This window comes from Homo sapiens, chromosome Y (assembly GCF_000001405.40).
Source record: "Homo sapiens chromosome Y, GRCh38.p14 Primary Assembly".
In the NCBI taxonomy this organism is placed as follows: domain Eukaryota; kingdom Metazoa; phylum Chordata; class Mammalia; order Primates; family Hominidae; genus Homo; species Homo sapiens.
Window position 1 is genome coordinate 23,941,623 of NC_000024.10, and position 20,564 is coordinate 23,962,186.

The 20,564-nt window shown below is 35.9% G+C and overlaps 3 pseudogenes; 1 reads left to right on the forward strand and 2 right to left on the reverse strand.

The window, feature by feature from the left end:
- RNU1-86P (RNA, U1 small nuclear 86, pseudogene) lies at nucleotides 4,996-5,149 on the reverse strand (annotated as a pseudogene).
- USP9YP12 (USP9Y pseudogene 12) lies at nucleotides 5,343-5,501 on the reverse strand (annotated as a pseudogene).
- Nucleotides 14,947-18,593, forward strand: RAB9AP5 (RAB9A, member RAS oncogene family pseudogene 5; annotated as a pseudogene).

Here is a 20,564-nt window from a genome sequence, read left to right on the forward strand (position 1 = left end):
TTAAAGAGGTGCAGCAGTAATGCAGAAATGGGATTAATCTAAATATGCTTCTCTTGTACTTTCTAAGGAACAGAAATTCCAAAATCTAAGTCTAGGCCAGAAGAGAAACATAGACTGCAAATAACAATAGTCCATATAGGAAGACACATGACATAGTTGGATTACAATATACCAATATCAGTAGCCCTGATAGTGTATTTATAGGTCTTGACTAATGTAGACTGCATTTTGCATTCATGGTGTTCAATGCTAATGCTTATATACTATAAAAAGATAAAAACATAGTATATTGTAACCGGTTCAAACAAATGAATTGCTGATCCTCACACTATGCAACACACTTCATATCCTACTGTTTCCAACAGGGGCATAGAGATATTACATCAAATAAAAAATTATATTAATTATTTAAAATCAGAAGGCACTTTTATCTTCAGTAAACCCTACATCTAATGACAAAAGCTTTAAAATAATATAGAAATAAACTAGGAGACTTACTGCTTTCAAGGAAAATTGTGACTGGCTAGCAAAACAGTCAGAAATCTTGGCACAATGGTGCTTCAAAGTACTGTGGATTCTGATAATATGCACTTTACTGGAATTAGGTGAAGCAAATTTTAGAAGCATCCCTTAGTAAATTCTACCACAAAAGTGCCCCCAGCACAAAAAAATACAACTTCCCATGCTCCAAACATTGTGACATATGAAAAGTATGTATATTGGTTGTAATATTTAAGAATTCCTATTAAAAATATGGCAATATCTTTATCTCAGCAAGAAATTAAGCTATCAAACATTAAAGGTGAAGAATGTGTAGAATTAAAATCTGCTTGTTTTTTACATTTTTACCCTGTCTTTGATTGTTTCTGGCATAAAAAAATAAGGTTTCTGAGCAATAGAGCTGTTACTCTGGACAACTGCTGTAATTTAGGTAATTCCAATTTTTGGCTACATGAACTTGGTGAGAAGTCATGCTAAATGTTATAGCACACTAAAATCTTTTAAATGATTAACCTGGCTGGGTGCCATGACTCAAAATAATCCCAGCACTTTGAGAGGCTGAGGAGGGTGGATCGTGAGGTCAGGAGATCCAGACCACCCTGGCTAACAAGGTGAAACCTTGTCTCTACCAAAAATACAGAATTAACCAGGTGTGGTGGCACATGACTGTAATCCCAGCTACTTGGGAGGCTGAGGCAGGAGAATCGATTGAACTCCTGGGGTGGAAGTTGCAGTGAGCCAAAATCACAACCATTGCACTCCAGCCGAGGCAACAAGAGTGAAACACCATCAAAAAAAAAAAAAAAAAAAAGGAAAGAAAGAAAGGAAAGAAGAGAGGAAGAAAAGAAAGAGAAAAAACAAAGGAAGAAAGAAAGGAAGAAAGAAAACAAAGAAAGAAAGAAAGAAAAAGAGAGAAAGAAAGAAAGAAAAAGAGAAAGAAAGAGAAAGAAAAAAGGTAAGAAAAGAAAAGAGAAGACTGCATTACTCTTGTTGTGGCTAATCTTCCCAGAAAATTTTAACAAAAATATTCGTTTTAACTTAGAAGTGTTCATAAATGGTATTTATTTATATTTTGATCAGTATTTGTTTTTTAGTAAACTTTGTATTAAAGCCCGTAAAATGGTTAATTTTTACTGTCTCTGCATTTTGAGAAAGAATAAATAAATTACTTTATGCTCTTCTTGAAATATCACAAATTTTTATGAACTAGGACAAGGTAGTACCTATTGACAAAGAAAATGTCACAAGGGTAAAATAAAACATGACCACACTTAAAGTATTCTTCTTCTGGGCCGGGCGCGGTGGCTCACGCCTGTAATCCCAGCACTTTGGGAGGCCGAGGCGGGCGGATCACGAGGTCAGGAGATCGAGACCATCCCGGCTAAAACGGTGAAACCCCGTCTCTACTAAAAATACAAAAAATTAGCCGGGCGTAGTGGCGGGCGCCTGTAGTCCCAGCTACTTGGGAGGCTGAGGCAGGAGAATGGCGTGAACCCGGGAGGCGGAGCTTGCAGTGAGCCGAGATCCCGCCACTGCACTCCAGCCTGGGCGACAGAGCGAGACTCCGTCTCAAAAAAAAAAAAAAAAAAAAAAAAAAGTATTCTTCTTCTGATCATCTTGCCAAAGCTGTCCTAGATAATTCTTTCCTTTTTTTTTTCTAGTAGGTGCTTGATACAATTTTTTTATTAGACTTTAAGTTTTAGGCTACATGTGCACAATGTGAAGGTTAGTTACATACGTATACATGTGCCATGTTGGTGTGCTGCACCCATTAGCTTGTCATTTAACATTAGGTATATCTCCAAATGCTATGCCTCCCCACTCACCCCATCCCACAACAGTCCCCAGTGTATGATGTTCCCCTTCCTGTGTCCATGTGTTCTCATTGTTCAATTCATACCTATGAGTGAGAATATGCAGTGTTTGGTTTTTTGTCCTTACGATAGTTTGCTGAGAATGATGATTTCCAGCTTCATCCATGTCCCTACAAAGGACATGAATTCATCAGGTTTTAGGGCTGCATAGTATTCCATGGTGTATATGTGCCACATTTTCTTAATCTAGTCTATCATTGTTGGATATTTGGCTTGGTTCCAAGTCTTTGCTGTTGTGAGTAGTGCCACAATAAACATACATGTGAATGTGTCTTTAAAGAAGCAAGATTTATAATCTTTTGGGTATATACCCAGTAATGGGATGCCTGGGTCAAATGATATTTCTAGTTCTACATCCCTGAGGAACTGCCACACTGACTTCCACAATGGTTGAACTAGTTTACAGTCCCACCAACACTGTAAAAGTGTTCCTACTTCTCCACATCCTCTCCAGCACCTGTTGTTTCCTGACTTTTTAATCATTGCCATTCTAACTGGTGTGAGATGATATCTCATTGTGGTTTTGATTTGCATTTCTCTGATAGCCAGTGATGATGAACATTTTTTCATGTGTCTTTTGGCTGCATAAATGTCTTCTTTTGAGAAGAGTCTGTTCATATCTTTTGCCCACTTTTTGATGGTTTTTTTTTTTCTTGTAAATGTGTTGGAGTTCATTATAGATTCTGGATATTAGCCCTTTGTCAGATGAGTAGATTGCAAAAATTTTCTCCCATTCTGTAGGTTGCCTGTTCACTCTGATGGTACTTTCTTTTGCTGTGCAGAAGCTCTTGAGTTGAATTAGATCCCATTTGTTAATTCTGGCTTTTGTTGCCATTGCTTTTGGTGTTTTAGACATGAAGTCCTTGCACATGCCTATGTCCTGAATGGTATTGCCTAGGTTTTCTTCTAGGGATTTTATGGTTTTAGGTATGACATTTAAGTCTTTAATCCATCTTGAATTAATTTTTATATAAGGTGTAAGGAAGCATCCAGTTTCAGCTTTCTACATAGCCTGTTTTCACAGGACCATTTATTAAATAGGGAATCCTTTCCCTATTTCTTATTTTTGTCAGGTTTGTCAAAGATCAGATAATTGTAGATATGTGGCATTATTTCTGAGGGCTCTGTTCTGTTCCATTGGTCTATATCTCTGTTTTGGTACCAATACCATGCTGTTTTGGTTACTGTAGCCTTGTACTATAGTTTGAAGTCAGGTAGTGTGATGCCTCCAGCTTTGTTCTTTTGGCTTAGGATTGACTTGGCAATGCACGCTCTTTCTTGGTTCCATATGAACTTTAAAGTAGTTTTTCCAAATTATTTGAAGAAAGTCATTTGTAGCTTGATGGGGATGGCATTGAATCTATAAATTGCCTTAGGCAGTATGGCCATTTTCATGATACTGATTCTTCCTACCCATGAGCATGGAAGGTTCTTCTATTTGTTTGTAACCTCTTATTTCATTGAGCAGTGGTTTGTAGTTCTCCTTGTAGAGGACCTCCACGTCCATTGTAAGCTGGATTCCTAGGTATTTTATTCTCTTTGAAGCAATTGTGAATGGGAGTTCACTCATGATTTGGCCCTATGTCTGTTATTGGTGTATAAGAATGCTTGTGATTTTTGCACATTGATTGTGTATCCTGAGACTCTGCTGAAGTTGCCTATCAGCTTAAGGAGATTTGGGGCTGAGACAATGGGGTTTTGTAGATATGCAATCATGTCATCTGCAAACAGGGACAATTTGACTTCCTCTTTTCCTAATTGAATACCCTTTATTTCTTTCAATAACTTCTTTTTCTTAATTTGAAGTCACAGCTGATATGTTACCAAATATGTAAGGAAATAAAATTGAAGACCATATAAGTAAAGATCAAAATGAGTTTGAAAAAGAAAAATAAAAATTTATGTATGTATGTATTTATTTATTTTTACCTGTTCATACATAAATCCTGTTGGATGAGGACATAATGTGGCATCTTCTGTTGAAGAGGACTTACGCTCATCTAAGGAATCTTGATTATCTGGCTTCAAATTCAAAATATTTAAAAAGATTGACAATTTTATTATGAAAGTAACTTTATACCTTATATTTAATTTTCTTCATTTAGAATAAACTTCTAAGAAATGCAAAAAAGCTGGCATCTTTAACATCTTCACAACTCCTGCAAATGATGTATAAGTCAGGGAAAAATCTGAATTATTCTAGCTGTGTAATTTCTAGACCATTTCACATCAGTCATTTCCAAAAGAAAACCTACTTTTTAAGGTCAAAGAAACCAATGTTAACCATTTAATAAAATAAATATTTTTAAGGGAAATATTAATACATAAACATTGGCTTACACATTTAAAAATGACTTCTCTTTTTCCCAGATTTATCTGCTTCCTTTGGGTGCTTCCCCTCGTCCCCTCATGTGGACTCAGTTTGCAAGGTTTTGCAAGTGTCATCCTAACACTATTTGATCTGCCTAAGACATAACCATTTGATGTTTTATTGTTTTGTGCTGGAGACCAACTTTTGTAGGCATACTGAATTGTTTCCAGTACATGGTCTAGTTTCAAGTTTCTATATCCACTAAACAAGTCAATTTTCTTTTCTTTTCTTTTCTGTTTCTTTTCCACGTGAAAGCGCAAACACAGTCCTTCATTTCCATAAATTATGCAGTTGAGTTTCCCACAATTTTGTAAATCTCAGGGGTCGGCACATCCATAGTGCAATAGATCAGTCTTGCCCTGGGAAGTTGGATTCCTAGGTATCTCCCCTGTCAGGGAAGTATCCATTTTCTTTTTAAGACTTCCATTATCCTTTGAAAGAAAATACAACTATAAATGTAATAGAAGTTAGAATAACTTTCAGTATCAGCTTAAAATGTCAATTTCAATCATCCATGATTATCCTCTTCTATAAAAGTTCTTAACTCTGACACAGGCTTCCACAAAATTGTAAGAAAAAACACTACGGTAAACAATGAAACAACCGTTAAATAAAACTACCATACATTTTACACACCGATATGCTCATTTTTGATAATGACTCTTAGAGTGTTCTATTGTATCTAACAGTCATTTTCGCTCTGCTGGAATTTTATTATATGCACTATGAGCTTTAAAATAAGCAGATGAAAATAATCTGTAATATCTAGTAGTAGCTAATATTTTATTGCCTAATATGTGCCTAATATTTTATTGCCTAATATGTGCTAATATTTTATTGCCTATTATGTAACAAGTTTTTGAGGTAATCTAATTAATATCAGAGTTAGTTCCCTAAGAGGGTAGCACTAGTAAATCCATTTAACAAATAAAAAAATCAATTACTGTTAGGAGAAATACTTTGCCAAATGTTACATATTTAGCCAGTTGAGGAGCTAGCAATCTGACTAAAACATCTGATCTCTTGGCATGTTACTAATTTAAAATGTTTTGGCTAAATATACTATCCATGCATTATTAAAAGTGAATTAAAAACAGTCAGGCTTTATTACTTTTCATAGTTCTATTTTTTATTCTACACATAGGATTATGCTCTGTGGCCCAGGCTGGACTACAGTGGCATGATGATAGCTCATAGCTCAATGAGGTCTCACACTCCAGGGTTCAAGGAATACTCCTGCCTGAGCCTTCCAACTACTTGGGATTAGAGAAATGCCTCACCATATTCACTCACCTCATTATTTTTATTAAAGAGGAATAGCCTTTTAAGACTAACTTTTTGAATAAAAAAGAAAAACTTGTTTGGTAGTCACTCATTTTTCAGAGACAACATTTAAGAATGTAAAGCAAGAATCCCATGATGATAGAACAGCAATATAAATTGGCAGTAGAAAATTGATTTCAATTCTAATAGTGTAAGAACACACACATGATGGCTAAAGCAATTTTCAATGGCAACAATAAAATTTTCCTGATTTGCTAATAATCAGTCATTTTTCTTCTAGGTCTGGCTAAATTGCAACATATTGACACTGAAAATTGTTTACTCTTCTTAAGAGTCAATATTAAAAATGCAAAAAATAGAGACTTCTACCTTTTTTGTCATTACCATGAAAGATAAATAAAATTGTTTTTTTCTCTCTACCATGTGTCTTACTTAATATAGTAATATTATATTCCAAGTCAGAAGCTATGTTTTTTTTTTTTTGCCATAGGAGCATTTATAATATAAATTTCTTTTGAAAAAGGTAATTTGTGTAATCTAATTATTTCAGGTAAGGAATAACATGGATAGACTTCTTGTAACACTGACAGTACATATTTCATTGTATTATTCTCTTAAAAATTATAATAAAGTGAAAATCAAGTCATTTGCCACATTATCAATAGTATCATTTGTTTTCACGTGCAATTTGGATTAATATTATCTTTGCCTATATTGTTATCTGCTGCCTTGAACAGTGGTTGGTACATAGCAGATGTTGATATATATCTGTTGATATATATCTGAATAACGCCTATTGAATAGACTAAATATTCATTACACAAAACATTTCAAGCTAATCTTAATAAGGAGAATACTAAATTCTTGCAAAAAACCCACATTAATCTACATTCACTGTTTTCCACATTAACCCAACATGTATAATTTTACTGTAATCACTTCCTTGAATGAGATGAGGTTAAGATGTGATTTAGCCTTACTTTAGAGCAAATAAAAGAAGTTACATAGTAAACAATATATGACTACAAACTATTTTTTAAATGGTATAAATTAAACCCCATTGATAGAGACTCTTAATGTCGTTTTACAACATTAATTAATCTGCTTGAAATCTATGATGGTGGACCAAAGAACAATTAGAAAAATTTAATTGTTAAAATCTAACATTTTCAGTTGTTTAAAATTTAAGATTATGATTTGGCTTTAATCATCGTGTTCTACAACTTTATAATACCTTTAGTTTATTATCAGGTTTTCAGTATGCTTATTATAATGTCTATTGAGTGAAAATCAGGTTTTTTAGTATGCTTATTATAATGTCTATTGAGTGAAAATTGTGTATGATTTTGTGTTTGGGGGGGCGTGTGTGTATAGAGTTTCCAGTTATATACTATGATTTGTTTCTACAATCCTATAACAATAAAACTTTTAATCTCCTAGCAGAGTTGGGTAACTAATTCTGGTCAATCTTAGTCTTATTTTACTGCAGATGACACAGCTAAGAATTCTAGAAGAAGGCTAAAGATCTGTCTTGAGTGTAACCACAGTTTTTTAAAATTATAATTTTTCTCAAAACCAATTTGGCCAAGGTTGTGAAACCCCATCTCTTCTAAAAATATAAAATTATCCAGGTGTGGTGGTGGACACTTGTAATCCCAGCTACTCAGGAGGGTGACACACAGAATTGCTTGAACCCAGGAAGCGGAGGTTTCAGTGAGCCGAGATTGCGTTCCTGCCCTCCAGTCTGGGTGACAGAGTGAGACTCCCTCAAAAAAACAAACAAACAAACAAAAACTCTCCTTCTTACATACAAGTTAAACTAACTACTTATAGAGGCTATGGATTGTTTTTGGATAACTTAATGTTATCTACCATGATAACATTAACTTTTTTTAAAAAAGTTTCCATTCAATGACATTCCTTTCTATGACTTTTTTTCATTGTTACATCTGTAGTAACACATGTATTGTTTTAGATGATTCCAAATTCTGGACATAGGTATCCAACTCCCCATTACAATTTTCTATTTGATCTCCCATATGCTTCTAAATCACAATCCGCTCAGATTCTTTTCTTTCTATCAGTAAATTGCATTACTATTCCCTCAGCATATCAAATCACACAAGAGACATAGGTGTTAACATCTCTTTCCTATTCCACTTCCTCAAATATCCAATTACCAACACCTACCTATTGTAACTCATAAAGAGCTCGTGAATCTGTCCACACATATGTTCCACATTGCCAGTTTTTCTTTTTTATTATACTTTAAGTTTTAGGGTACTTGTGCACAATGTGCAGGTTAGTTACATAATACAGAGTACCCACAATCTTTTTCTACACATAATTTTGAATACTTTCTTACTGTGGTTTATTGTGAAACTTTCTATGCTATAGCCAGTGAGATGTTACTAATTTATGCCTTTTGTGATCCTCTAATGGTTTATCAAGTCACACTGAATATCGCACATAATTGCTAAAAAGTCAAGTTATGTCAATACTAAGTCTGTACCAACTAGCTATTTAGAAAAAAAAAAGCTTAACAAAGCAAGTATTTTTTACTGCAAGATGCTTTTTACCTCCAAATCTAAGTCATATACTCCCTACAACAGGCAGCAGGTCACTTTGTATTTTTCTTGTTTATTATGAAGCTTTGTATCCCACCTGGGCTGTTTATTCAGTACTGTATTTTCAAAATCATAATTAAGACAGATTCAAAACACTTTATCTGAAATTCAAAATGCTCAATTAAGCAAGGCTTTTAAAAATAAGGTTGGTATGTAATTTGATTTCTGATGTAATAAAGACTTAATTGAGGGAAGCTATTAAGTCTTCATTCATGTACCCTTCATCCTTAAAGGGAATATTCATTTCTCTTCATAGAAACATTAGTATGTTTGATTCTTGGGTACCTTTGGGGCCTCACAAGGAATAGTACACAATGTGTTGCAAATGTGTTGACTCAGTTTCCTCAAATTCAAAAATTCCTAAAACCTAAAACACACTGCCTAAATGCCTTCAGATGTATAAATGTATAATGAATCTTGTCAATTAAAATTACACTTAGGTTATATTATAAACCAATCATGTGTTGTGTATGAGCCACTGAAATCTCAAGTTAAATTGTGCAAAACAAATTTTTTTTGAGTTCTTAAGTTTTATATTTTTACATTTAAAATAAATATTGTATTTATATTTGAATATATGCTCCTACTCTACTAAAAGTATCCCAGCATCTCAGATGTAGTCAGGCAAGGATGAGAAAAAAGAAAGCACAGAGATGATCAGAGCAGGAAGAGTAAAGGGTCAAATTTGTTTCCTCTTGAAGGTAAATAAAATAACACTTTCATTACAGGAATGTGTGACCATAGAACTTAGTTTTGATAGTAAAATGTTTGTGACTTTAACAAGTTACATGAAGTGAAATCCTAATTGTCTGAGTCAATCATTCATATGTGTGACATAATATTTATCAACATCACATATAAATGTAAAATTTAATAGTAATTAAATTTTAACTATATCCATAAATTAGTAACTTTGAAATGTTGCCCTAACACTGAAAACAGTACAAATATTTTTGTTTTACATTTTTGACAATCTATCAATGCCTTTAGTACTACTGTGCAATAGGTTGATGTGAGAAAAATCAGGCTACCCTAAGAGAGATTTAGTGAAAATCACATTTCTTAATTTATGTTAACATCAACAAAAAATTTAAGTAAATTATTTATTTACATTGTAACTGTTTATTTTACTTTATTTTAACAAAAACACACATACGTTCTAAAAGTTTCTCATAGAAGACATTTTTAAAACTGACAAACAAAATGACCAGTTGAGATCCCTTAAGGATATAGATTCCTTTTCCAAGTTCTAGAAATTCTGATTTAGATAGTGTGGCATATGACCTGGAAGCCAGTAGTTTTCAAAAAGCAATACTAAGAGATAACGTCTGCTGGGCACAGTGACTCAAGTCCGTGATCACAGCACTTTGAGAGGACGAGATGTGCAGATCACAAGGTCAGGAGAGAGACCATCTTGGCCAATATATATATTAGCCAGGCATGGTGGCATGCCTGTAGTCCCAGCTTTTAGGGAGGCTGAGGCTGAGGAATCACTTGAACATGGGAGGTGGAGGTTGCAGTGAGCCAAGATCTTGCCCCTGCACTCCAGCCTAGCCACAGAGCTAGTCTCCATCTAAAAAAAAAAAAAAAAAAAAAAGAGAGAGAGAGAGAGAAAGACAACATCAATCAGGTACAATATCTAAACTTAAAGATTACCAGAAAAATGAAACAAGTGCATAAATAACCTGAGAATACATGAAATACATTAAAGTTACACAGATTTGGGATGCATTTATATATATTTATATGTATATGTATGTATGTATATGGAATATTGCTTGTACTTTAGGATGCTTTACATATTATAATGATTAAAATGTGCTTCTCATTTAATATTTTAAAATAAAAACCTAATTGACATAAAATTATGAAAATATCTTACCTAAACTGGCATATGTTACAAACAGTTAAATATATTTCTGTAAATATAATAGCTATGCTCTGTATATTTTCTTCTCAGGAGATTAAATACTCCTCTTAGTAACTGATCACCCTTGTTCAAGTTGTTACATTTCTGTGAAAAATAAGTATTCATTGGTGTAATAGAATCAAGATTACAAAACAGCTTCTATTTGAATAAAGAGTCCTGTTCTTATAAAGAGCAAACATCTCACACAGAAAATTATTAAATACAAATTCCTATTTGAGAGAGAAAATAAAGAGCTTTGGTAAATTTTTTTGTAGATTTTGTATGCTGTTCTAATTAAAATAACAACAACACTTCCACAACTTCAACAGAATAATTAAAGTCATTTAATTATTCGTATTATCACTAATTTTAATTTTATGTTACAGTGTTTTTACTAAAATACCCTTCAATTTAATGAAAAGTTAATTTAAAAAAATAAACCTTGGGGATTTCCTTAATAACTGTGAATATTCAATACACAAAATAATTTAATCTTGTTTTTCAGAGGGCCAAGAAATCACTCTTCATTACCATAAAATAACTTTTAAAACTCACAGGTGTTATAATGTTTCTATAATATAAAGCATGCATTTGTGTAAGGCAAATACATCAAATAGAGCCATATAAATTTGCTGATTTGAATTTACAGACAACAGAATTTACTTCTAAGTATATAATTACTCCAAAACAAACAAACAAAGAAAAAAACTAATGGTTGTGCAATTACCTGACTAGAAATTGATGGAACAGGAGCACCTTCATCTTGAACAAATATCACCACTTTAACATCCAACTCTCTTTTTAGCCTCATGCATTTCAAGGAAATCACTTGTCTTCTAACTACAAATAGTAAGCACATTCCTTTCCCTTCAGGTGCAGTAAGATAAGGAAGCTAGAAGCAGACATGGGAAATATGCCTGCAACTCCAGAAAGATGTATGAAAACAGACCCACAGCTCTCTCTGTCAGATAACCACAACAAAGAGACACAGAAGCCGTCCAAGACTCTGACAAACTCTCTGAGACTGAATCTTGAAAATCTCTTAGTCTGTTAAGAGAATGTGGCTCTGACTTAACCTGGCCAGCCACCCCTCTCAGGTTGATTCAAAATAAACCTGTCCTTGTTGACAGTCATGCTGCCCTTTGGGTTTCTCACCTCTTTCTTTAATTTTTACATTTGGTGCTGAAACCCAGGACCAGTGTTGGGGGTAGAGGCCCCGTTGGATCCCAGGAAGCTGTGGGCAGTGGCAGCTTATCCTAAGTTAACTCCTGGATCCTGAGTGTCTCTGGCCACCTGCCCCAACTTTTCTTTCATTTTACTCTTCAAGCAGTTTGTGTGAGAAGGACAAATGACCTGAAGGAAACTGCAAGGCTCAGGCCAGGTCTATAAAACCCTCAAGTCTCAGGAATCCACCCCTAACACTGGCTCCCTCTTTCCTCTTCTCTCTCTCTTCCTCTCTCTCTCCCTTTCTCTCTCTCTCTCTCTCCCTTTGTCTCTCTCTCTCTCTCTCTCTCTCTCTCTCTCTCTCTCTCTCTCTCTCTCTCTCATTCTCTTACTCTCTGTTCCTCATATAGCTCCAGTCTTGGAGTCCCTTTGACAATTCCAAGTGGAACATCCAACAGACAACACTAATTCAGTCGTCTGGTAAGATCTACCTTTTCCTGGCTTTCTCTTGGTACTGGAGAAAGTCCAGCCTGCTGTCGAGTTCTTCGAACGACCAATAGGACTAAGCTAGAGGAAACCTTGGGGACATGTAGTGCTTTCTCAGTGTAACTGTCCTCTTTCATAAAGAGGATTCCGGGTCTCTGTCTATTGTCTGGGGACATTTAGAACAAAACAGACATTTTTCAAAATACCTTTATAGCAAATCCAGCTTCCCAGAAATGCTAATTGTTAAGTACGAGAATGTAAAAATATATTATTCAATTGTACCAAGGGGAAAGGTTTAGTGTTACTGCCATTTACAGGAAAAACAAACAAAACAACTTAACACGTTTTACATAAAGTTAAAAATTGCTAAAATTTCATTATAACATGTAATCAAAAGTGCTAAACATTAATTTTCATGCAAGGTGTATAAAAACAATAAAAAAATTGTAAAAAGATATAAAAATGTACATTTTGATTAAAAATTTAAAAATTGGTTTGGGAAGACACTGAGCTAGCTTGAAGAGTTTTTTTTTTTTTTTTTTTTTTTTTTTTTTTTTTTGGTGCCCCAGTGGCACCTGAAATGCCAGAAAGACAGAATGGTTCACTCCCTTGACAGGGGGGAGAAGCCAGGATGCCAAGTTATCTAGCTCAGTGGATGTCATGCCCATGGAGCCCAGCAAGCTAAAATCCACTGCCTTGAAATCCTTGCTGCCAGTGCAGTAGTCTGAAGTTAATCTGGGATGCTTCAGATTGCTGGGGACAGGGGCACCCGCCAATACTGAGGCTCGAGTTGGTGGTTTTCCCTTCACAGTGTAAACAAAGCCACTGGGAAGTCACTGCAGCTCAGCCAAGCTGCTGTAGCCACACTGCCTCCCTAGATTCCTCCTCTCTGGTCAGGTCATCTCTGAAAGAATGGCAGCAGCCCCAGTTAGGGGCTTATAGATAAAACTTCTATCTCCCTGAAACAGAGCATCTGGGGGAAGGAGTGGCTGTAGGTGCAGCTTCAGCAGACTTAAACCTTCCTGCCTGCTGGCTCTGTAGAAAGCTGCAGATCTCCAACAGACTGTCTCCTCAAGCAGATCCATAAATCCCATGCCTCTTGACTGGCGGACTCCTCTCAGCAGGTATCGACAGACACTTCATACAGGAGTGCTCTGACTGGCACCTGGAGGCTGCCCCTCTGGGATGAAGCTTTCAGAGGAAGGAATAGGCAGCAATCTTTGCTTTTCTGCATTCTCTGATAGCGATACACAGACGAAAATGGTCAGAAGTGGACCTGCAGCAAAGTCCAGCACATCTGCAGCAGAAGGGCCTGACTGTTAGAATGAAAACTAGTAAGAGAAAGGCACAGTATCAACATCTACTAAAAAGATTTCCAAAAAAAAAAAAAAAAACCTATTCAAAACTCACCAACGTGAAAGACCAAAGGAATATCAATGCACAAAGATAAAACAACAACAACAACAAGTGCAAAAAGGCAGAAAATTCCAAAAACGAGAATGCCCCTTCTCCTCCAAAAGATCACAATTCCTCACCAGCAAGAAAACAAAACTGAATAGAGAATGAGTTTGAGGAATTGACATAAGTAGGCTTCAGAAGGTGGGTAACAACAAACTCTTCTGAGATAAAGGATAATGTTTTAACCCAAAGCCAGGAAGCTAAGAACCTCAAAAAAAGGTCAGGGAATTGCTTACTGGAATAACCATCTTAGAGAAAAACATGAACAACATGATGGAGCTGAAAAACACAGCACAGAGATTGAAGATCAAGTTAATGCCATAAAGCATGAAGAAAAGATTAGAAAAATGGAATAAAAAGGAAGAAACAAAGTCTCCAAGAATTATGGGACTATGTGAAAAGACTAAAACTACTTTGCTTGTTTGTTTGTGTGTTTGCTTGTTTGTTTGTGTGTTTGCTTGTTTGTTTGTTTGTGATGGAGTCTTGCTCTATTACCCAAGCTGGAGTGCAGGGGTATGATCTTGACTCACTGCAACCTTCTCCTCCCGGATTAAAGGGATTCTCCTGCCTCAGCCTCCTGAGTATCTAAGTTTACAGGTGCACACCATCACACCTGGCTAATTTTTGTATATTTAGTAGAAATAGGGTTTCAGTATGTTTTTCATGTTTGTCTCAAACTCCTGACCTTGTGATCCACCCATCTTGGCCTCCCAAAGAGCTGGGATTACAGGCGTAGATCAAAATGTACAGCTTAAACCTTGCTCTTCTTTTTGGCCAAGACATAACTATACAGTTTTCTGTTCTCTCAACACTAACTTCTATTACATTTGTCATAAATATACTCCCTAAAGCATGAACCTTGCTGTTTCAGAAACCTACAAACTTTGGTCTTTTATCCATCTCTAACCAAACTGTAGTGGAGCTTAGTATGAGCAGAGAGGGGCTTATCATAGATTCACTGTTCATAACAAGAGCTTTGATGTCACATTTAGGCTAAAGTGCCAGCTTCACAGTCAACTGTGACCTGAGAAAGGGGAAGAGTAAACCCTTTTTAGTCGTTTTAGAGAATCATGGTAGTATAGTACCCTGCTCACGGCTACATGCTCAGTAAACAACAAGTCTTATTATTACATATTCCCTAGGGCTATGTTTTATTTCAGCTAAATGCTGATATTCATAGACTCATATAGAAGAATAGGTAGGTAAAAAGGAATGTTATGGTACCTTTTTTATTTTCTAGGGCTCTTGAAGCCCTTGAGATGAACAGTGGAAGGAAATTAATCACTTCTTAAAGTAATTCTCTTTGGAAATGGTGGGATTGGGAGGAGTTCGTTTATGAACAGATATGTAATGGATAAGTTTGATACTCTACTGTTCCATGCAATAGATGTGAACATTTTAAATAAGATTTGAAAGGGATGGACATTTTTTTTTACCATGCACATTTGTGGCATGGCAGGTCAAGAGATATTGCAAAGCCTGAGGATGCCATTTTACAGACATTCTTTTTTTTTTTTTTTTTTGCTTTATTTTTATTTTATTTTATTTATTTATTTATTTATTTATTTTTTATTTTTTATTTTTTTTTATTATACTCTAAGTTTTAGGGTACATGTGCACATTGTGCAGGTTAGTTACATATGTATACATGTGCCATGCTGGTGCGCTGCACCCACTAATGTGTCATCTAGCATTAGGTATATCTCCCAATGCTATCCCTCCCCCCTCCCCCGACACCACCACAGTCCCCAGAGTGTGATATTCCCCTTCCTGTGTCCATGTGATCTCATTGTTCAATTCCCACCTATGAGTGAGAATATGCGGTGTTTGGTTTTTTGTTCTTGCGATAGTTTACTGAGAATGATGGTTTCCAATTTCATCCATGTCCCTACAAAGGATATGAACTCATCATTTTTTATGGCTGCATAGTATTCCATGGTGTATATGTGCCACATTTTCTTAATCCAGTCTATCATTGTTGGACATTTGGGTTGGTTCCAAGTCTTTGCTATTGTGAATAGTGCCGCAATAAACATACGTGTGCATGTGTCTTTATAGCAGCATGATTTATACTCATTTGGGTATATACCCAGTAATGGGATGGCTGGGTCAAATGGTATTTCCAGTTCTAGATCCCTGAGGAATCGCCACACTGACTTCCACAATGGTTGAACTAGTTTACAGTCCCACCAACAGTGTAAAAGTGTTCCTATTTCTCCGCATCCTCTCCAGCACCTGTTGTTTCCTGACTTTTTAATCATTGCCATTCTAACTGGTGTGAGATGATATCTCATAGTGGTTTTGATTTGCATTTCTCTGATGGCCAGTGATGATGAGCATTTCTTCATGTGTTTTTTGGCTGCATAAATGTCTTCTTTTGAGAAGTGTCTGTTCATGTCCTTCGCCCACTTTTTGATGGGGTTGTTTGTTTTTTTCTTCTAAATTTGTTTGAGTTCATTGTAGATTCTGGATATTAGCCCTTTGTCAGATGAGTAGGTTGCGAAAATTTTCTCCCATGTTGTAGGTTGCCTGTTCACTCTGATGGTAGTTTCTTTTGCTGTGCAGAAGCTCTTTAGTTTAATTAGATCCCATTTGTCAATTTTGGCTTTTGTTGCCATTGCTTTTGGTGTTTTGGACATGAAGTCCTTGCCCACGCCTATGTCCTGAATGGTAATGCCTAGGTTTTCTTCTAGGGTTTTTATGGTTTTAGGTTTAACGTTTAAATCTTTAATCCATCTTGAATTGATTTTTGTATAAGGTGTAAGGAAGGGATCCAGTTTCAGCTCTCTACATATGGCTAGCCAGTTTTCCCAGCACCATTTATTAAATAGGGAATCCTTTCCCCATTGCTTGTTTTTCTCAGGTTTGTCAAAGATCAGATAGTTGTAGATATGCGGCATTATTTCTGAGGGCTCTGTTCTATTCCATTGATCTATATCTCTGTTTTGGTACCAGTACCATGCTGTTTTGGTTACTGTAGCCTTGTAGTATAGTTTGAAGTCAGGTAGTGTGATGCCTCCAGCTTTGTTCTTTTGGCTTAGGATTGACTTGGCAATGCGGGCTCTTTTTTGGTTCCATATGAACTTTAAAGTAGTTTTTTCCAATTCTGTGAAGAAAGTCATTGGTAGCTTGATGGGGATGGCATTGAATCTGTAAATTACCTTGTGCAGTATGGCCATTTTCACGATATTGATTCTTCCTACCCATGAGCATGGAATGTTCTTCCATTTGTTTGTGTCCTCTTTTATTTCCTTGAGCAGTGGTTTGTAGTTCTCCTTGAAGAGGTCCTTCACATCCCTTGTAAGTTGGATTCCTAGGTATTTTATTCTCTTTGAAGCAGTTGTGAATGGGAGTTCACCCATGATTTGGCTCTCTGTTTGTCTGTTGTTGGTGTATAAGAATGCTTGTGATTTTTGTACATTGATTTTGTATCCTGAGACTTTGCTGAAGTTGCTTATCAGCTTAAGGAGATTTTGGGCTGAAACGATGGGGTTTTCTAGATAAACAATCATGTCGTCTGCAAACAGGGACAATTTGACTTCCTCTTTTCCTAATTGAATACCCTTTATTTCCTTCTCCTGCCTGATTGCCCTGGCCAGAACTTCCAACACTATGTTGAATAGGAGTGGTGAGAGAGGGCATCCCTGTCTTGTGCCAGTTTTCAAAGGGAATGCTTCCAGTTTTTGCCCATTCAGTATGATATTGGCTGTGGGTTTGTCATAGATAGCTCTTATTATTTTGAAATACGTCCCATCAATACCTAATTTATTGAGAGTTTTTAGCATGAAGGGTTGTTGAATTTTGTCAAAGGCTTTTTCTTCATCTATTGAGATAATCATGTGGTTTTTGTCTTTGGTTCTGTTTATATGCTGGATTACATTTATTGATTTGCATATATTGAACCAGCCTTGCATCCCAGGGATGAAGCCCACTTGATCATGGTGGATAAGCTTTTTGATGTGCTGCTGGATTCGGTTTGCCAGTATTTTATTGAGGATTTTTGCATCAATGTTCATCAAGGATATTGGTCTAAAATTCTCTTTTTTGGTTGTGTCTCTGCCCGGCTTTGGTGTCAGAATGATGCTGGCCTCATAAAATGAGTTAGGGAGGATTCCCTCTTTTTCTATTGATTGGAATAGTTTCAGAAGGAATGGTACCAGTTCCTCCTTGTACCTCTGGTAGAATTCGGCTGTGAATCCATCTGGTCCTGGACTCTTTTTGGTTGGTAAACTATTGATTATTGCCCCAATTTCAGAGCCTGTTATTGGTCTATTCAGAGATTCAACTTCTTCCTGGTTTAGTCTTGGGAGGGTGTATGTGTCGAGGAATGTATCCATTTCTTCTAGATTTTCTAGTTTATTTGCGTAGAGGTGTTTGTAATATTCTCTGATGGTAGTTTGTATTTCTGTGGGATCGGTGGTGATATCCCCTTTATCATTTTTTATTGTGTCTAGTTGATTCTTCTCTCTTTTTTTCTTTATTAGTCTTGCTAGCGGTCTATCAATTTTGTTGATCCTTTCAAAAAACCAGCTCCTGGACAGCCATTTTACAGACATTCTGAGAGTTGTCTGCTTACTTTTAGTATAAGTGATTTACAAGGTTCCAGAACTTAACTAACTGGAAGAAAGAGTTCATAAGTTATGCAGAGGTAGAAGAACCCGAGAGCATTCCTTTTGTGATTCTGGATTCCTAGACTGGCATAATCCAATGGCAGGTGTTCATAGAAGAAGTGAAGCTTATGCAGTGAGAACAGTGACTATCCTTACTTTGTCAAAAGTGCAAAAGATGCCACAAATGCAGCAGCAGCCTTTGAGGAAGGGTTTCAAAACATTCGTGCAACTGAGGATATGTCAGATCACTTGATGCACAAAGGCATGGTCGACCTTCACCTAAACCCCAAGCCTTGCTCATCTTTCTGTTGAGTGTTAGAGATAAGGCAGATGCATTCTAACCAACTCACATGTATAAAGAAAATCAACACGTACTTGGAGAAGAGAATTAGTGTTTGTAGCAGTGTATTACTTTACTAATACAATTCAGTGAGTCTATATTATTGTATCATTAGTGGGTGGGAGAAGGGACACATTCACTCATGGAGGAATATATTTTCTCAATAATGGCACCTTACATTTATAAATTGTAATGGTTTTCTGAAAACATTGCTTGATTTACATATGCAAATAGAGAGCTAATAAATGAGATGACCAAAACTTAAATTATAATTAAAATAAGAAACTTGACTACTCTAGAATTTATACTCAGATTTTTTTCCTGGAAAAATGGGAAAATACTTTTGTATGTATATGATTTTTATACAATTAGCATTCTATTCTTGGTGAAAGATAACGATTTCCTAAAGCAATAATGTTAGATATGAATCTAATGTATTTGCAATGCATTCTTATTTAATTTACTTCTTTATCCTTTCCAAAATTACTTCACATTTTTTATTTTCATTCTACATATCATTAGGATTACTCTCGCTAGCAATTACTCATCATTTGTGTGCCATTAATGAACTTCTACCACAATAGATCATGTTTCACAGCCCCAGGAGGATGAAGGGCCAATAGTAGTAAAAGAGTTGCTTCATACAGTCTGTCACACACGCAGCTAAATTCGAGCTGTCTATGACTAAAAAATCTTTCCATACAGAGTTCAGTTTTCAGAAAAAGGCTAACTACTGAACTTGGAGAAAAGACAAATTTGCATTTGATAACTGATTTAACAATTATAACATGTGTGTGGAGGATACAAACTGACAATTCCACTAATGGGATAGTTAATATTTGTGTCACATTCTTGACCCCTCTGGAAAGTCTTCTAGTTCAAGTTAATCCATTCCTTTTTAACACAAGACACAAGCTAATTTTATCACTTTCAAAGGAAATACTAAGAAGGATTGTACTTTGTCAGAGGGTGAATCAAGACATCTTTATTAGGCCATGTATTTACTTAGTGTCTCCTCTAATACGGAACATTGTTTAGTGAATTGCTCTCGAGGTTTTTTGTGTTTGTTTCAAAAAAATCCTTGCTGCAATGATCAGACTTGATAAAGCAAATTGTGGCCTCTTGTGGATGTTCATATTCTGTGCAATTGGTGACTATCTGATTCTATGGAAGTTAACTGAAGCTTGGAATGAATGTGGATGAGACCTGCAACTGGGGAGTGATGGGGGTATCAAAGGACATGCTGGGTGAGGGGAGGTGGCTTTCACATAGGGAGGGGAGTTTTGAAAAATTACATCAAAACATTTCTCTTCCTGGCCTCACTCAATATTGCCATCTGGAAATATTTAATAAAAAATACAATAGAAAATGATAGAAGAACAAAGCAGGTGTTGAGTGTAGCAGCAGGAGCAGTGAGAAGCAGCTGCAGAGCCACCTTGGACAGAAGAACCAGAGATGATGCTCCATAGTTTGAAGGAAGTGTGGTTCCCAGTGGTGCAGAAGTTGCTCCATACATTATGTCATATATTTAGCTAGACTTGAGCTATGAATGGAAAGCTTTTCCATAGAGAAAGTTCGGATTATAGAAAAAGGCTAACTACAGAACTTGGAGAATAGACAAATGTACATTTAATAACTTCTGTAACAATTACAATGTGCTGAGTAGAGGATAGAAAATTACAATTCCATTACAATCAAATAAATATTTTTGTTAATTTTCATCATTGGGAAAAGTTTCCTAGCTGAAGATAAAATATTTATACTGTTTCTTGTCTTAGAAGAAAACTATTTATGTTTCTGTACAAACCTGTTTTCACTTTTATATTATGACACCACCATGTAAGTTTTCTCACAATAAACATGTCATGTAGAGTAGTAAACTGATAAGTAGGGAAACACACCAGTGTGGTACCCAGCGAAAGGTGGAATCTGGGCAGTCA